The 18475-nt window shown below is 51.3% G+C and overlaps 2 annotated features.

The window, feature by feature from the left end:
- Positions 11799 to 12299: an enhancer, noted in NCBI's record as "H3K4me1 hESC enhancer chr18:76548401-76548901 (GRCh37/hg19 assembly coordinates)". NCBI's record gives its function as "activates a minimal SCP1, AML or CMV promoter by ChIP-STARR-seq in naive H9 embryonic stem cells {active_cell/tissue: H9 hESC(naive)}" and the evidence as "EXISTENCE:reporter gene assay evidence [ECO:0000049][PMID:30033119]".
- Positions 12300 to 12800: an enhancer, noted in NCBI's record as "H3K4me1 hESC enhancer chr18:76547900-76548400 (GRCh37/hg19 assembly coordinates)". NCBI's record gives its function as "activates a minimal SCP1, AML or CMV promoter by ChIP-STARR-seq in naive H9 embryonic stem cells {active_cell/tissue: H9 hESC(naive)}" and the evidence as "EXISTENCE:reporter gene assay evidence [ECO:0000049][PMID:30033119]".

Genomic DNA, 18475 nt, shown 5'->3' with positions numbered 1-18475 from the left:
TGAGGCGGGAAGAGGGAACGCAGCAGGTGGGACCAGGTCTGGTGTTGAAGAGACACAGTGGCCGACCAGTCAGCAAGGATGAGTGCAGGGAGGGAGTGAGGGAGGCTGGTCAGTAGGATGAGTGCAGGGAGGGAGTGAGGGAGGCTGGTCAGCAAGGTGAGTGCAGGGAGGGAGTGAGGGAGGCTGGTCAGTAGGATGAGTGCAGGGAGGGAGTGAGGGAGGCTGGTCAGCAAGGTGAGTGCAGGGAGGGAGTGAGGGAGGCTGGTCAGCAAGGTGAGTGCAGGGAGGGAGTGAGGGAGGCTGGTCAGTAGGATGAGTGCAGGGAGGGAGTGAGGGAGGCTGGTCAGCAAGGTGAGTGCAGGGAGGGAGCGACGGGGGCCAGGTGCCGGCCGTGGGGCTGCTACCCCTTGGCTGGTTAGGGAAGACATCATCGAGCTGAAATCCTGATGAATGGGGACTAATTAGAGGAGGAGAGTGAGAGAGGCACAGGCGGGGAGAGGAGATGGGAGTTAGGGGAGGTGGCGGCAGGTCCCAGAGTCTTAGTCACAAAGTGGAGACGGACATCCGGGATTTGGAGAGACAGCGGCTTAGTTGGGATGGACGAGTTTGAATATCAGCAGGTGGACACCTCCAAGGTCTCTTTCTTTCCTTTCCAAAGTCCACTGTGAGTCTGCAACGATCCGAGGCAGCTGTCCTTTGTGGGCGACTCTGTGCCCGGGTGGAGTTTCCGACCTTGGGAGTCCACATCTGCCTGAATGGGACGGCGGGACTCACACCTAGAGCCAGTGCTTTTTCCTAGAAGTGGCCGCACCACTTTCTTGAGGCCTGCATGCTGGAGCCGGCCAGCTGGCCCCGCTAAATGCAACGGAGGCTGGGGCGTGGCTTCCTGAGTTGTGGATGGACATGGGGAGAAGGACGGTTGTCCCCTAGGGCAGGTAGGGGCTTGGCTGTGCAGAAAGCAGTCATGCAGGAACTTGGGAAGTTGCTGAGATTTGTTAGCGAGTGCGTATGTGTGCGTGTGTGTGCGCATTGTGTGTGGTGGGACATCACTGAGATTTGTGAGCGAGTGTGTGTGTGCGCGCGCGCGTGTGCAGTGGGAAGTCACTGAGATTTGTGAGTCGTATGTGTGTGCGTGTGGTGGGGATGTCACTGATTTGTGAGCGAGTGTGTGTGCGTTGTGTGTGTGGTGGGACATCACTGACATTTGTGAGCGTGTATGTGTGTGTGAAGTTGCTGAGATTTGTGAGCAAGTGTGTGCGTGTGCTTGCATGTGTAGTGGGAGGTGCTGAGACTTATGCTGCTAGGATGAGCTGAGACACAGGTTTGAGGGTGCCTCTGGCTGAAGTATGGATTGAAGGGGTGGCTGTGCGTAAGGGGTCAGTCTAGAGGCCCCTGCCATATCGCAGGGTAATGAGGCTCATGGAAGCTGGAACCAGCAGTGTGGTGCTGGTGAAATGGATGGATCCTAGGGCCCTGATTTGCACCAGGGACGGACTGGGTGCTAGGAGCTGAGAGGCCCCCTTGGCGGAGCGCTGCCTTTGGTGGGAAGGAGGTAACTCCGGTTTGGGTTTGAGCTGAGGTCGCTTTATACTAGGGTGGTAAGGACAGCATTTCACCTCTAGCAGCCCCTCAAGAGTCCTGACCAACGCCTGGTGGGGAGGTGGTGTGGGGTAGGAGCAGAGTGCAGCCTCAGAGCGGGTCAGGCCCCCACGGGGCTCAGAGCCAGGCACCGACCCGCCGTCCTCCTGCATCGCCTTCCTCCCACTGCAGGCTGTGGGCAATAACACAGCGCCAGGTGAGCCAGGGACCCGCTGCTCAGTGGGTGCTCAATACATGCAACCTGTGGGGCCTGGAGGCCACGGACGTTTGCTGCGTTCATAATAACTTCCACAGCTAATGAGTCTCACAGCTTGTTTACTTCATTTTAAGAAACACTGATATTTCCCTTAATATAATTTACCCCACATTAACTTAAGCATGATGGGGTCTGTGTTTCGGATGCGCATGTGGAACTCTCATTAAAGCTAATTGGAGCTGTGTGCGTGCGTGGAAAACGCAGGGTCCTCCTGCCTCCCGCAGCAGAGAGGCCGGCTTGGGAGTCGCCGACTTGACAGGCTCTCCTTCAGGAGGTTCCCGCTCTGCTTTTGAAGAGGACGGGGGCCACCACTGAGTCTTGAAGCGATGTCAAGGGTAATGACCAAAAAAAAAAAAATCTGTAGTGACACAGTGTGGGGTCACAGAATTGGCAGAGCCACGGTTTTATGCTTTGCTCATTGATAATTATGAAAATCTTTTGGAGAGGAGAAAAATATTTCCTGAAAAATTTCAACAGACATCTTATCTTCACATAATTAATACACTACAGGAATAAAATTCCAGTGTAAAACGTAAACATGTTTTTATTTTGGCTTTCCGTGTAATTTACAATTATGCATCTATCACATAATAAATGACAGACAATGTTCGTAAAAGAACCCAGAGGCCTCGTGTAGCCCAGGCGGGAAATGGTAGCCTATAAAATATTGAGGGCGGCTTTCAGGTTAGTAGCAATGTGAAAATGCACGTAATCGAAGCGGGCACCATTAGTTAAGTTTCATATTCTATTCATATAAATATTTCAGGCTTCTCTCTTTTGCCATCCTATGACATTAGACACCTGCAGAGTAGCAGCATCTCTTTAAAATCCTGGATAAACTATGACACAGGCCTCCATGGAAATGATTTTCCCTTTAGTGATGGACTCATAGGCATTTTACTTAAAGTATCATTTCTCGGCCGGTCACTGTGGCTCACACCTTAACTGCAGCACTTTGGGAGGCTGAGGTGGGAAGATGGCTTGAGCTCAGGAGTTTGAGATCACCTTGGGCAACATGGTGAAACGCGTCTCTACCAAAAATGTAAAAATTTTCTGGTCACGGTGATGCACCCCTGGGGTCCCAGCTACTTTCGGAGGCTGAAGCACGAGGATGGCTTGAGCCCAGGAGGCGGAAGCTCTAGTGAGCCGAGATCTCACCACTGCACTCCAGCCACTGCGCTCCACTGGATCTGAGCAACAGATCCAGATCCCATCTCAAAAAAAAAAAAATTGTTTTTTTCCTTTTGTTTTAATTCACACCATAAATGTTTCATCTCCTCCTGCCTGTGCCGGGTGGCAATGCGGCTCTGACACTCATCACCGGCTGTCACATGCTCTGGGCTGCACGGCCACACAGCAGTTATGATTTCTGTAGCTTCCCTTCTGGGGGAATTTGAATTCTTTTGGAAATGATATTTTTGAGTGTTGATCTCAGAGTCACTGTGCCCGGTTTTGGAAACGTGGCCGGCTTCTGGGCAAACATTTAACACAGAGAGTGGCTCTGCCCTGGAAGGAGGCCTGTTGGCAGCACCAGCCGAAAGGATGCCCCGTGGTCCCTCGTGCCCAGGGCGGGCCCAGCTCTCCTCGGTCCGTGGTCAGTCACACGGGAAACCACACGTGGGCAGGGCTTGTTGGAAACATGCTTGCGGACGTCCTGGGAGCTGTGAGAGCCTCGGCGATGACGCGCTTTCGTCCCGCCTTCGTGTCCGCTTCCCTTTATGGGCTCATAAGGTCCTGGGAGCTGTGAGAGCCTCGGTGATGACGCGCTTCCGTCCCGCCTTAGTGTCCGCCTCCCTTTATGGGCTCATGAGGCCGTGAGCGCTGTGAGAGCCTCGGTGATGACGTGCTTCCGTCACGCCTTCTGTCCGCCGATGATGCGCTTCCGTCCCGCCTTCGTGTCCGCTTCCCTTTATGGGCTCATGAGGCCGTGAGCGCTGTGAGAGCCTCGGTGATGACGCGCTTCCGTCACGCCTTCTGTCCGCCGATGACGCGCTTCCGTCCCGCCTTCGTGTCCGCTTCCCTTTATGGGCTCATGAGGCCGTGAGCACAGTGAGAGCCTCGGTGATGACGTACTTCCGTCACGCCTTCTGTCCGCCGATGACGTGCTTCCGTCCCGCCTTCGTGTCCGCCTCCCTTTATGGGCTTATGAGTTTCTGCCTCAACTCCAGGCATTTTTTTTTCTTTTGCCTCTAGCCCAGTTTTAGAAAGGACTATGTCTTGGTCCTTCTTAATGGTATAAAAGATATCCTCAGCCCGCCAGATGCTCCTGCATTTGAGTGACGACACGCTTCTCTGGCTGTGACCAACTTTTCTCCCTTTCTTTTTAAATGACAGGACTTCTTGTTCAATACTTGCTGGATATGAAGTGAGTGGGATGGGAGTGACGTTCCACATGGAAAACGTGGGGACATGAGGAAGCCCCCGTGGTACAGCCGTGCCCCCAAGTCTCCCTGACCTTCGCATTTCCATCACCTTTTAATCTTACTGACTTATTCACTGATCTATACAGCTAGCACCCTGCCGTCGAGATGGGCAGGGTTTTTTTGATGGTGGCATCAGGAGAAAGTCTGCTGTTTGAGGAAAGACCAGAAGCCCGAAGCTTCAGCTGAAGTTTTGGTGGGAATTTGATCAGAGACTACTGGGGGCTCTTCTCTGCAGGCTCTCTCTCTCTCTTTCCCCCCACCCCAAATCAGGTGTTAACCTGTTTCTCTTCCAAGATAAAGTCCTGTGATGGTGATTCCTGCGGTTACGTTGGACAGACTAGGAAAATCAGCATGACTACAGCGGGAGGTTTTTGGACAGTTTAAAAAATTTTTTTGAAATAGTATTAGATTTACGCAAAAGTTGCAAAAATTGTACAGACAGTTCCCATGTGCCCTTCCCCTACCTGTCTGGTGTCAGCATCCTGCATGGCCATGGGAGGACTGTAGAATTAAGAAATTAGTATTTGCATAATGCTGTTGACTAAGTGGCAAGCTTTACTCTGATTTCACCAGTTTTCCCAACAAGGTCCTTTTTCTGTTTCAGGATCCAACCCAGTGCCTCCCATTGCATCCACTCCTCACACCACCGTCTCCATGGCGTGACAGTTCCTCAGTTTTTCTTTGTTGTTCATGACCTTCACCTTTTGGAAAGGTACTGGCCAGTCACTTTGCAAAATGTTCCTCAATTTGTGTTTGCTTGATGTTTTCTCCTGATTAAAGTGATGCATTTTGGGCAAGAACATCATAAAAGCAACGATGAATGATTTTCAACACATCATATCCAGAGGTGTGTGACGTAGAGGTGCCTTATCCTGGCGATGTTGCCCATGATTGCTTGGCGAGGTCTCCCAGGGTTACAAAGTTACTGTCTCTCCCTCTGTACTTAGTAAATAACTCCAGGAAGCAGAGATACTTTGAAAGTATTTAAATATTCTATTATATTTAAACTTTTGCTCACTGATTTTAGTATCTCTGGGTAGACTGCCCACAACAGTTCTAGTGTGGTTATCTAGTTCCCTCATTTCTTTTACATTTAATTGGAAATTCCAATAAGGAAGAATTTCCAAATTCCACTTGGAAATTCTCCATAAGGAAGCTCTGTCCCTTCCACCCATTATTTTACTTTATTTATTTCCATGTTGGAATTTGGAACATTTAGACTGATCTTACCATGAATTCACGTGGTTCCATGTATAAAGCTTGGCTGAAAATGTCCACTGGAATTAAACCTTTATATTGGGATTTATTTAGGACATCTTCATAGGTCTGGTATCATTTTATTTTCTCTTTGAATTCATGACATTTTGCCCATGTATGTGTCCACCTCAATGCGCCATTTTAAGACTGTTGACCACTTAAGACAGTATCTTGTGATTCAGCACCAGGTACTAATCAAAATTCTTTGAAATAATAACACAGGGTCAGTATAAATTCACATGTTTAAATATAGACAATGAAAAAAGTTCAGAGAAAGCAAACAATTTATTAGCGGAAGCTACTAATTCAAAAACGATGGAAAAAACATCTTTCCAGGCACTATATGTCTTCATGCTTCCGTCTTTCTGAAAAATGGTGCATGGATATTAAAGGAGGTTTTTGCAGAACGGGATGATTCGGATGTCTGTCTTATGCATGTAAATGTTTTACTGCAGCTGGTGTTAGCCAGGAAACCAAGATAGTTCTTTCTAAGCTTTAAATCAGTTGTTTTATAGAGCACAAAGAATTTTTTATTATAACATAATTCTGTGCATAAAATATCACATTAAAAGAAGAAGATAAAGTTTTGTACTTTCATTCTCCATTAATTTGACCAAAAACAATTTGCAGAGAAATATAACCAATCAGAATTCACTGCTGCAAGGCCAGTAGGACTTGAGGTCTAGGTCCAGGGGCAGCTAGGGGAAGTCCTTGGTGACCAGACCCCAGGGCCGTAGTGGGATATTTTGGTGGCTGCCATGAGAAGGCCGTTTTAACAGCGGGGAAAGCACTTGGGGGCTGACGGCTGTCAGAGTCATGCTCTGTATCAGATGCATCCCAGGCACAGACCCCTGCAGGCACCCCTGCTACACGGGTGTGGCTCCTGAGGACTCTGGGCTGCGTCCTCCAATGCCATGCTCTCTCCCTGGGGTGGCCCCATCTGGGACCAGCTGCCAGATGCTGACTCATGCAGGTTACTCATGCCTGGCCCACTTGCCTCGTGGGGAGATGCTGAAGGATCCTTAGGTTCAGGGGCCTCCTGGGTCGGGGCCTCTGCTCTGTGGCCCACCCTGCCCCACCTGCTGGCAGGAGCACGGCCTATATGCTTTTGGCTCTCCCATCTCAGGGTCTGAGTCCTGGGGAGTCTGGCCTATGACAGCTGGAGAGAAGATCCGGCTTTCTGAATATCCCAAAATGCCCTGTGAAGGGCCAGTCTCCACTCGCTCATATCCTGCATGTAGTGTAAGCAGGCTGAAACGATACACTTTGGGAATGAGAAATGTCTGCCCTGCACACGTGTGCTTGCTCTCCTTGGTGATTTCAGCTCATCTGATGCTCTCGTCAGAGAGCCTCAAGTGTCTACGCCTTTGAAAACCTGGCTGTCAGGATAATTAAAACTTCCTATCCTATTTTCCTCCTGCTTCGATGATGAATAGCAAATCAACTTTCTAGGAGACCAGCTCCTCAGGCACCGGCAGTCATCTCTGCTGCGATCTGGCCTGCACGGAAGCCCTCACTAATGGTTTTCAGCACTCCATTCCTTGTATTAGGGGAATAAATAATCACGTTTTATGCACAGAAAAGTTTAGGTGAAGCCTTAAGTCAGTACTCCAGAGGATGTGCCCAGAGAAGGCCAAGACCACGGACAGCTCCACGGCTGGAAAGAGGATGGGAAGGAAGCCCCCGCTGGAGATGGGCATGGATGCTTCCTTACATCTGCAGTCACCTTAGGGAGCCGGGACTCTCACTGCCCCATCTGCCTCTGAGAATGGTGTTAGTGTCGCTAATCACAGAGAAGCCCACCGAGACACAGGTACATGCTGTGAGCCACCCAGAGCCGGGAAGGTGTGGTTGCTGACGGGCCAGAAGCAATTCCTTGTTTCTATTTTAGTTTTAGGGGCCATGTCCTCCTTATTATAGCACTATGCTGTTCAGAAACAACGAACAAATGACAATCTGCTCCTCCCCATTCCTGTGTTGAAACCAGGCACTGCTCCGTACGTGCTCGGTATGTGTTGTGTGAAGCCTCCGAGGCACTCCTGGGTACTGATCATCACTGGAGGAGCCAGCATGCCCTTCCTGTGTGGGCAGGGAGGCTTGTGGTGCCTCTCACATGTCACCCGCTGTCTACACACCACCTGCTGTCCACACGCCATGCACCGTCCACACGCCACACGCCACCCACCACCCGCCGTCCTCATGCCACCCACCGTCCACAGGCCATGCACCATCCACAGGCCACCCACCATCTTCACGCCACTTGCCGTCCTCATGCCACCCGCCGTCCACAGGCCACGCACCATCCACATGCCACCCGCTGTCCTCACACCACTCGCCATCCTCAAGCCACCCGCCAATCTCACACCACCCGCCAGTCTCACGCCACCCGCTGCTCTCACACCACCTTGCCTGCTGAATCCACCTTGCCTGCTGAATGGCTTTCCAGAGGCAGAAGCTGTCTCCGCTTCTCTTTCCAGCCCTTTTGGGTTTAGCACCGGGTTGCCTACTTGGTAGGTGTTCATTAAGTGCTTGTGAAAAGTTTTGATGTACTTCAGAATTCAAATGTTCTAAACTGAGCAGCAGCTGTTTTTATGAAGATGTATTTGTTTAAAAAATGTTGACCAAAATTTGAGCAGGATGTCTGATTTCTCAGTTTACTGTGTGTGCTGTTTTGATTTTACTGGTGAGAATCTTATCCTGCAGGCATCAGGCTTGCAAATTGAGTGGCTGTGAGAGATTCTGTTCCCCGGGGTCCCACGATGCAGAGCGGGGCGACTGGAGGCTGTGCTGGGCCTGCTGAGGATGGGGCACCGCCAGCTGGGTGAGCCCCCGCCTGCTAAGCAGTGGCATTCACCAGCCCGTCTCCCAGTCTCCTTCAGGTTCCTGCTGCTTTGTTTCTCAAGGCGCCCTTGGCAGGATCTTCCAGGATGCTGGTTACAAATGCAGGCTCCTGGGGCCCCGTGCCTGGATCTGTGGAGACCCAACTGCAGGGTGGAGGAGCTGGGAGCCACATTCTTTTTAAAAAAATTTTTTTTTAAAAATTTTATTTATTTATTTATTGAGACAGAGTCTCGCTTTGTCGCCCAGGTGGGAGTGGAGTGGCGTGATCTCGGCTCACTGCAACCTCCACCTCCTGGGTTCAAGTGATTCTCCTCTGTCAGCCTCCTGAGTACCTGGGATTGCAGGCATGCACCACCACGCCCAGCTAATTTTTGTATTTTTAGTAGAGATGGGGTTTCACCATGTTGGTCAGGCTGGTCTTGAACTCCTGACCTCGTGATCCGCCCGCCTTGGCCTCCAAAAGTGATGGGATTACAGGCATGAGCCACTGCTCCATGAGCCTGGGAGCCGCATTCTTATTTGGCTCCCTGGGGCGATTCTTGTGCATGGAGAGGCTGTGGAGAGCGTGCCCAAACTCTTCTGAGTCTTTTCCACGCTCATTGCAGAGATGGCTTCAAAAATTTGGTTTCTTCCTCCATGGTATGAATCTGCTGCCCAGATAGGGAGGCATCTTGGTCAGCCCTTTGTGCCTCAGTGGAACCAGATGGCTCATCCTCACTTGTGGAATGGGAGTGGAGTTACATGTGTCACTTCTGGGCCAAAGCAGTGAAGAAGCTGTTGGCTATTCCCCTGTCTGTGTCTGAATGCAGAGAATGCCAGAGCCAGGAGGGGGTAAGCCCAGGATGTGAGGAGCCTCTGCCCTAGCGTGGCCGTGTGTACAGCACCGATGCTGATAGGAATAGCCATGATGGGTTGCTAGGTGAATGAGAAACAAGCTCTTCACTGGTGAAGCCAATGAAACTTGAGGACTTATTTGCTGTTGTTTTTGGAAGAGGGTGCAGGTGTAAGAGGAACCTCAGTCACAGTGGTGTGTGCAGTCTGCGGGTGGGCAGCAAGGAATTGACAATGTGCTGGAGGCTGGAGAGGCACAGTCAGTGCTGGCAGTGCCTTTGGGGAAACCACAGCTGCAAGGACTTGGACGGCGACCTCCACGCCTGCCGAGGTTCTGACGGAGCCGAGGCCCAGTGCGTGACAGCTGCCCGGGCCACTGCTGGCAGGTGCTACAGGAAGCATGAACTCGGCCATGGCTGGTGGATTTCAAGCAGAAATAGGAGACATGACAAGTTTAGAAATCAAGAGCCTTACAGAATTGGATGAAATGGTTGCGCCTGCATCCTAAAAAGAAAGAGATAAGATTGAAACATATTTTGAATTGCAAAGCCTTCTCTATTGAACCAAATGAGTCAGCCCTGCTCAAATCTGAGGCTGAGGGAGTGGCCCTCCCCACAGCTGGCGGGATTTGGGGATGGATGTGATCTGTGCCTGGGAACAGGGGTATACTCAGTTATTGGGTGAGCAGAAAGATAATGGCAGAGACAACTGACTGTCCCCCAGCGCTGTGCCCCTGTGGCCCACATCTCCCTGCCCCTCCTCCCGCTCCCCATCTGTGTGTCCACCTTTCTGGTGCTCCCGGCGGACTTGTGGCACAGGGATGCCTGTCACCTGTGGCTGAGGTGAGACCTGCAGGTGCAGGTGTGTCTCCTCCACCCTCTCCTGTGGCCTCATTGGTTGAATCAAGAGCAGTCTGGGGCCCTGCGGTAGGTCAGAGCCACCCATGAATGGGAGCAGAGGCCAGAGCCACACCCAATGACCAGAAGCAGCCACATGGGACCACAACTGAAAAGAACCTGGTGTTCAGCCAGTTGCCACTGAGGTTTGTGATGAGAGGCAGCGTCCCCCGCTCTTGCCTGCTACCTCCTTTCAGTGGCGGGGATGGGGATCTCACATTTGTCGCAATAAAGGCACGGACGTGGACCCTGGAGCTCCCAACGCCCTGGGTTCCTGCATTGCGGTGTCTCCTGGCTCTCTTGTTAAATTCTTTCCTGTCCTCATCTTTAATGTGGCATTTTCTCAAGTTTCTCCTGTCCACCTCCCTCCACAGCCCTCACTGTGGAATGACCTCAGGAGGGAGCAGGGCTGGGAGCAAGCAGGGTGGGGCCAAGATGGGCTTGTGAGTGCCGAGCCCCTTGGGAAGAGTTCTAGGTCATTGCGTGATGAACGTCAGGCGTCATCCTTGGTCTTGCTGGCTCCGCACCCTCGGAGTTCTTCTGACTGCCAAGCTCTGTGGGTGCTGGGTGCAGCGGGAGAGATTGGGAGCCTGGTTCCCGAGGGCTCGCCTTGCAGGGGAGGACGGGGGGTCACTGCCCTGCCACTGAGCAGTGAGGAGGCCTGGGGCAGGCTGAGAGCAGCCTCCTCTGATCACCAGGATGAGCCATGGCCACTTCAGGTGCTGCCCACTCCCGGTCTAGGCAGAGCGTGGTGTCGTGTGGTCTCTGGAGTGAACGAGGGGAACCGGGGAATGGGACATCTGTAAAAAGTTTTGTGAAAAAATGTGTTTTGTTTTTACTTTATGAGAAAAACAGATTACGAAGTTCTAAGGAATACATTAAATACTGGATTTGTTCAAAACCACCAAATAAAATATTTTATATTTCTGTTTTCATGAGAAACTTGAGCCAACTTCTGCCAACAGAACTTGTTTGCATTGGATTTAATGATGGAAATAGCTGTTTTCCTGGTGGTTTCCTGGCAGACAGCAAAATATTTGGACTTCATTATCAAATTATCAACAACAAATGCTAAATATAGATGTGATATATAGGTGTTCTAAGCCTTCTGGCCTATTTTAAATTTATCATAAAAACTTTTGAAGAAAAATAGAAACTGTAATTGGTGGAGAACCCAAAGCTGTAAGTTGATAAAATGGCACAGAGCCATTTTCCCGGGAGGAGTCGCGGGGCCGAGAGGTGGTGTCTGAGGCACCTTTCTTCGCACTGCAAGTATTTCTGCGGCATCCACAGTAACATGATTCTATTTTAGTATGTTGCATCTGTGAGGAAAAGATATAAAATCTGTTCTGGAGAATAGAGAGTTGAAGTTTTCTCTCTAATAGTGAGAGTTTTTATGAACTATTTGATTTCCTAAGAGGAAAATTATAACTTCAAAAACAAAACATATTTTTCAGGATGACTTCAAAGACTTTATGTATTTCATTTTGCTATTAATTTTACTTTGGGCAAATGGAATGATGTTCTGCATCTCTTCTCGGCACTCACTGTGCGTTATGGTTTGCATTTTATCACCAAACTGCAAATTAAATATTGTCTTTGTTGGGGAATGATTCCTCTGTAGCCCTGCTATATGACCTGCATGTTTTTTTTCCTGTAGAGCCTTGAATTTCTCCCTATTAGAAATCCAAAAAATCAAATTTATGTTCTACTGCTATATTTCGTTTTCTGTAGGGACTGCAGCATGAGGAGGCAACTGTAATACCTTTGAGCCTTTTATTTTCTAAAATAAAAGGATCACATCAGCCACTTTAAAAGATAAGATTCGGGCAATCTCCATGAGTAGCGTGCACAATTTGTGCTACTGGGGCTGGGCTGTGGGCTGGACGCTCCTCTCCCACAGTGACATTCTTGTTTGAATGCTCCACACCTCCTTTTTTCCTAGAGGCAACTTTGACCAGAAGTTCTAGAACACTTGGGAATAACTAAGTATAACAATAATGAATCACTCCAACGAAAATAACCTAAGAGAACATTCACCCCAATGTTAACCATGTCCCAAGCCTCCCCCAGCCAGTGTCTCCAGCTGTCCTGCCCTCCCTTCCTGCCCCGTCCTGTCCACACGTGGCCAATGAAGCTGGCTGTTCAGGCGGTGACCCAGGTGCAGGAGTGAGCGCGACCACACTGACCAGGCTTGCTGGGCACAACCAACAAGCAATTGCAACGGTGGCAGCCGGCCAGAGAGCAGGAGGAGGTGCAGGGGCACTGGGAGTGGGAATGGGGTCCTCGGCTTCTCTGAGAGGAGGCCGGGGAGGCTTAGCTGAGTGGCTGGATCTGAAGCCAACACGTGAGGGCCTCTGCAGGGGACACAGCAGTCGACTCCGGGGATGGAGGCCATTGTGTGAGGCGTGTCTCAGCTTTGTGGGGGGCGGGGGTCGGGGGGGCCTGCAGAGCCAGGAGGTGGATGGGAGTGGGGTGGCCATGGAGGAAAGGGTGGGCCAGGTTGTGCGGCCTCACAGGCTACAGTAATGGCTGTGGATGTCACCTCCGGGGCTCTGGGAAGCCACTGCAAGGTCACAGCCGAGTGTCAAGATGGGATCTGTGCTTTGGGGAGCTCACAGAAACGCCATGTGCAGGAGGCAGAGTGGACTCGAGGCAACCTATTAGGAGGCTGTGAGGTGCATGGCCCAGGAGCTCAGCCAGGTCCTGGAGCTGGGCTGGACGTTGGGCAAGGGAATTTGAGGAGCTGAGGGCAGCACCAGGCATGGCAGGATGGGCTCCATCCGGAAGGTGGGAGTTGGGAGACAGCAGGGGACGGGCAGGAGGGGCTGGGAGAGTGTGAGCCTGGTTCTGGGTATGGCAGAGTTTCAGTTATTGGGGGAAAAGCCTTATCGTTTGGTTAATAAACACATTTAGTTAAAGGAAGGAGGCACAGGTGCTCTCGGGTGCAGAGGCTGAGGGTCGGCACAGGTGCCCTCGGGTGCAGAGGCTGAGGGTCGGCACAGGTGCCCTCGGGTGCAGAGGCTGAGGGTCGGCACAGGTGCCCTCGGGTGCAGAGGCTGAGGGTCGGCGCAGGTGTCCTCGGGTGCAGAGGCTGAGGGTCGGCATAGATGCCCTCGGTGCAGAGGCTGAGGGTCGGCACAGGTGCCCTCGGGTGCAGAGGCTGAGGGTCGGCATAGATGCCCTCGGTGCAGAGGCTGAGGGTCGGCACAGGTGCCCTCGGGTGCAGAGGCTGAGGGTCGGCACAGGTGCCCTCGGGTGCAGAGGCTGAGGGTCGGCACAGGTGCCCTCGGGTGCAGAGGCTGAGGGTCGGCACAGATGCCCTCGGTGCAGAGGCTGAGGGTCGGCACAGGTGCCCTCGGGTGCAGAGGCTGAGGGTCGGCACAGGTGCCCTCGGGTGCAGAGGCTGAGGGTCGGCACAGGTGCCCTCGGGTGCAGAGGCTGAGGGTCGGCACAGGTGCCCTCGGGTGCAGAGGCTGAGGGTCGGCGCAGGTGCCCTCGGGTGCAGAGGCTGAGGGTCGGCGCAGGTGTCCTCGGGTGCAGAGGCTGAGGGTTGGCACAGGTGTCCTCGGGTGCAGAGGCTGAGGGTTGGCACAGGTGCCCTTGGGTGCAGAGGGTGAGAGTTGGCACAGGTGACCTCAGGTGCAGAGGCTGAGGGTCGCACCGGAACACCCAGGAGCGGGACAGGAGGGTTGGTGACTGGTGACAACGCAGCCGCCTTCCTTCCCTCTCCTGCACGTGTGGCGTGTGCGGGAGATTGGTATGTATATTTACATCCATGTGTACACATGCATGAACACGCACGGGTACATAACTAAGGAAGAAACAGATCTAAAGGGAGAGATTTCGTTTTTACAGGCCATGAAGGCAACCAGGAAAATGACATGAATATGAGTGTTATGACTGTGAGCTGTCTGTTTACTAAAATCCCAGCCCATCTCTTTGTCTTCCAGTTACACGGGTGTAGGAAGCCATAAATGTTTAATGGAACTGGGGGCCAGGAAGTAGCAGTGATGTAAGTTTTATCTCTCTGTGGTCAAAATACCATCAAATGCTAGCGGGGGTGGGAGCCCCCACGCTGTGATTTTGTATGTCTTTGCCTCATAGGTGGGATAGTTACTCTTCTTCTCCATTTTCTAAAGAATGAAACTCAAATTTCCCCTTTGAAAGTTTTTTCTTTAATGTTAAAATACACATATTTACTTCTGCACAAAATATGGGCTCAGTCCTCAATGGTGGGAATTATTTTAAGAAATCATACATGGCCTCATAGACTTTCCAAGGGGTAGAATATTTTCTAATCACATTTTCCTGAATAAGGGCACAGTTCGGGGTTTCTCTGGCTCATTTTTAGTTTCTCCAGGAGAGACAACAGAATTTCTCTCTGAAGACACTTTGAACAGTGCACAGTTGGGTGTACGCAGAGCTTCAGGGTGCTGCGGCACCCACTCCTCCCCAACTCCTCACTGCTGGGCCAAGGTATGTTGAGCAAGTGAGAAACTTCCTCAAAGAGTGTAACAGCTCCATTCTCCGATTTCTGAAATCTTTGCTTCTTCGTTCTTTCCAAAACATTACATGCCTTTTGTGATACCAACAATTTCATTGGAAACTCCCATTGTGAAAGCATTTGGGAGTTGCTTGAGGGAACAGTAATCGGCCATGTGATGGATGGTTGCCGGTGTGAAGGATGGAGCTGTGGAGGTTAAGGTCAAAGTAGGCGGCTCTTCCATCTCCAAGAACCTTATCTGAAGAGCTTCTGGGAACACTGCCACACAACAATATCTAGCACCTCAGTCATTTTCTTTTCTAAAATAACATTATGTTCTGAATTTAAAATAATTCAAGTTCATTTTAGAAAAGTTGGAAATTAGACATAAAAATGATAAAGGAGAATATCCCACTGTTAGATAATCCTGAGACAACCACTGTTAAAGTTTTGCGCTATTTTCTTACAGATATCTATACCTACCTGCACGTCCATACCTAAGACTATGGTATTCTGTCAAGTGTAAAACTTATGATTTATGCAGCAAAATTTGAAACACAAGGAATGTGGCATTGTGTCTTGTTTTTCCATATAATATTATACTGTGAACATTTTTGCATGTTATTAAATTTCCTTCACCAGCACAATTTTTCATGGTTACATAATATTCCTTCAGTGGTGAGTGGGAGTTGGCTTTTAGCAGCTTGGGGAAGAGAAAATGTGCATATCTTCAAAACTCTGTGTCCACCGATTCCATGGTCCTAACTGGCACCACAGACCTCGGCAATCACTACAAATCTGGGCTTTAAAAACTTTTTCGTTTTTCTTGAGCCGGGTGTCATGGCTCACGCCTGTAATCCTAGCACTTTGGGAGGCTGAGGTGGGTGGATTGCCTGAGCCCAGGAGTTCCAGACAAGCCTGGACAACATAGTGAGAGATCTTGTCTCTACTAAAAATAAAAAAAATTAGCCCGGAGTGGTAGTGCACACTGTAGTCCCAGCTACTCGGGAGGCTGAGGTGAGAGGATTGATTGAGCCCAGGAGGTTGAGGCTGCCGTGAGCCATGACCGCACCGCTGTGCCTCAGCCTGGGAGACAGATTGAGACCCTGTCTCAAAAATTTTTTTTTCCCAAAGGGACAATTAATAACCATTTATCAGCACATCACTGGTTCTGTTATAGAAATGTAGCTTAACTAATTTAAACATTTGCTTTTCTGAAATGTAGGATATTTCCAATGCTTTTATATTCTTATAATTGTGCAGATCTTGTACATAAATCTTTATCTGCATGTCTGATTGTTTTCTTAAGACAGAATTCTGAAAGTGGAATTTTAGACTCAAAGGATATAAGCATTTGTAAGGCCATAGACACATAGTTTCAAATTGCTACCCAGAAAGGTTGAGTATCTTTGTATTTATATGAGGAGGTACAAAAGTGTCTGTAATACCAAATCCTAGTCAACACCTATTATTGTTGCTTTTAACAATCTTTGCTAATTAGGAAGGAGAAAACGACATTTCACTGTTGCTTTAATTTGTATTTTTAAGTCGTTAACAAAGGTGAACGTTTAAAAAAAGTGTACATTGGCTGGGTACTCACTTCATAAGAGGGTTTCATGATGTTTTGTTAATTTGTCTGCTCCACGCAGAAGGCGCTTAGATTGTGTAGACTGCGTGTGAGTGACCTGACTCTTGGCAGATCCATTGGTGACTCTTCAAAGTCATTGAAGACTTTTCATAGAGTAAATATGGGTGTGATAAGTTCCTGCATCAATGATGAAGTCGTGCTCTCAGGATATACATCTTTCTCAGAAGCCTTGTAATTGGAGGTGGAATACAGTTATGTGGGAACCTTCTCTATCACATGAAGAGTCATTAAAAACAAGTGAAAACAATGTCAGATTGCTAGAACCAGGGACATGTGCCTCCAGGGTCTTAGGGCAGAAAGAGAAAAACAGGAACTGGGTAAAATAGAGTTGGGATAGGTGATTTGCCCACAGCCCAGGCAGCAGCTGCTGAGACTGTGAGTGCGTGTGTGTGTATGTGTGTAAGCATGCGTGTGGACATGTGTGCACCCATATGCATGTGTGTAGTGTGTGAATGTGTATATGTGCATATTTACATGTGTGGGTGTGTGCCTGTGTGTGCCTATGCGTGTGGATGTGCATGCACCCATGTGTGAGTGTGGAGTGTATGGGTACGAATGTGCCCATGTGTGTTTTCGTCACAGCGAGAAGTTTCCGGCTCCCAGCTTTGAAGAGGGCAATGAGGAGATTTCCGAAGTCTCCCCCATGGCCTGTCCCGCATTTTGGGGCCCTAGCAGTCCCTCGTGGATCCCTGCTGGCCTGTGGGAAGGGGGTCCCATAGCCCCCACGTGCCCTGCCCTGCCGGCTGCCTTCACTTCTGGGTAGCTGTGGCTGCCCAATCCCTGTTCCTGGGACTTCCTCTTTACCCACAATTGAAGGGGCTATAAGTGCTCGTGGTGGCCTCACAGTTCTTTATGGGAGGCTTGCAGGAAGTCAGAAGGAACCAGGCCGTTTCTGAAGCTGTCTGACCCTTCACTCATTCTCTGCATGGGGAGTGCAGAGAGGAGGCTGGCGTAGGGCGCAGGGGGGATGGCATCCCTAGAAGCACTGCCCGACCCTGAGACAACCTGTCTCTCAGAAAGGCCACCGCCTCCTCCCAGGCATGGGGCCGCCTGGGCTTCTCCCTCTACCTTGCCTACGTCCAGCAGGCCACAGAGCCCTGCGGTTCCACTTCCTCAGTCAGCTGTCCTTGCCACCCCTCAGGACCTGCACCTGGGTCTCCAGCCAGCCCACCCTCCGGTCTCTTTGTCCCAGGCTGCACCATGAAAGTTCACCGCTTAGAAAGTACCCACAGCCAGCGTTCAAGATGCCTCGCCATTGCCTTAGAAATAAAACCAGAACTGTCCTGAAGGCCTGTGGGGCCCAACATCGCACTGCTCCCTCGTGCCTGGACACCCGGGGCTCCCCAGCCTCCTCCTCTCTGGTGGCAGAACGCACATGTTCCTCTGTGATGAGCGGAGGCCTCGCCTGCACCCTCCCCTCCACCCCGGACACCTCTGTGATGAGCAGAGGGCTCCCCTCCATCCCCGGACACCTCTGTGATGAGCGGAGGCACCCCCTCCACCCCGGACACCTCTGTGATGAGCGGAGGCCTCCCCTCCACCCCGGACACCTCTGTGATGACCAGAGGGCTCCCCTCCATCCCCGGACACCTCTGTGATGAGCGGAGGCACCCCCTCCACCCCGGACACCTCTGTGATGAGCAGAGGGCTCCCCTCCATCCCCGGACACCGCTGTGATGAGCGGAGGCACCCCCTCCACCCCGGACACCTCTGTGATGAGCAGAGGGCTCCCCTCCATCCCCGGACACATCTGTGATGAGCGGAGGCCTCCCCTCCACCCCCGGACACCTCTGTGATGAGCAGAGGGCTCCCCTCCATCCCCGGACACCTCTGTGATGAGCGGAGGCCTCCCCTCCACCCCCGGACACCTCTGTGATGAGCAGAGGGCTCCCCTCCATCCCCGGACACCTCTGTGATGAGCGGAGGCCTCCCCTCCACCCCCGGACACCTCTGTGATGAGCGGAGGCCTCCCCTCCATCCCCGGACACCTCTGTGATGAGCGGAGGCACCCCCTCCACCCCGGACACCTCTGTGATGAGCAGAGGGCTCCCCTCCATCCCCGGTCACCTCTGTGATGAGCGGAGGCCTCCCCTCCACCCCGGACACCTCTGTGATGAGCGGAGGCCTCCCCTCCATCCCTGGACACCTCTGTGATGAGCAGAGGGCTCCCCTCCATCCCCGGACACCTCTGTGATGAGCGGAGGCCTCCCCTCCACCCCCGGACACCTCTGTGATGAG

Source organism: Homo sapiens, chromosome 18, assembly GCF_000001405.40.
Source record: "Homo sapiens chromosome 18, GRCh38.p14 Primary Assembly".
Lineage (NCBI taxonomy): Eukaryota > Metazoa > Chordata > Mammalia > Primates > Hominidae > Homo > Homo sapiens.
This window is presented reverse-complemented; position numbering and strand designations above follow the sequence as displayed.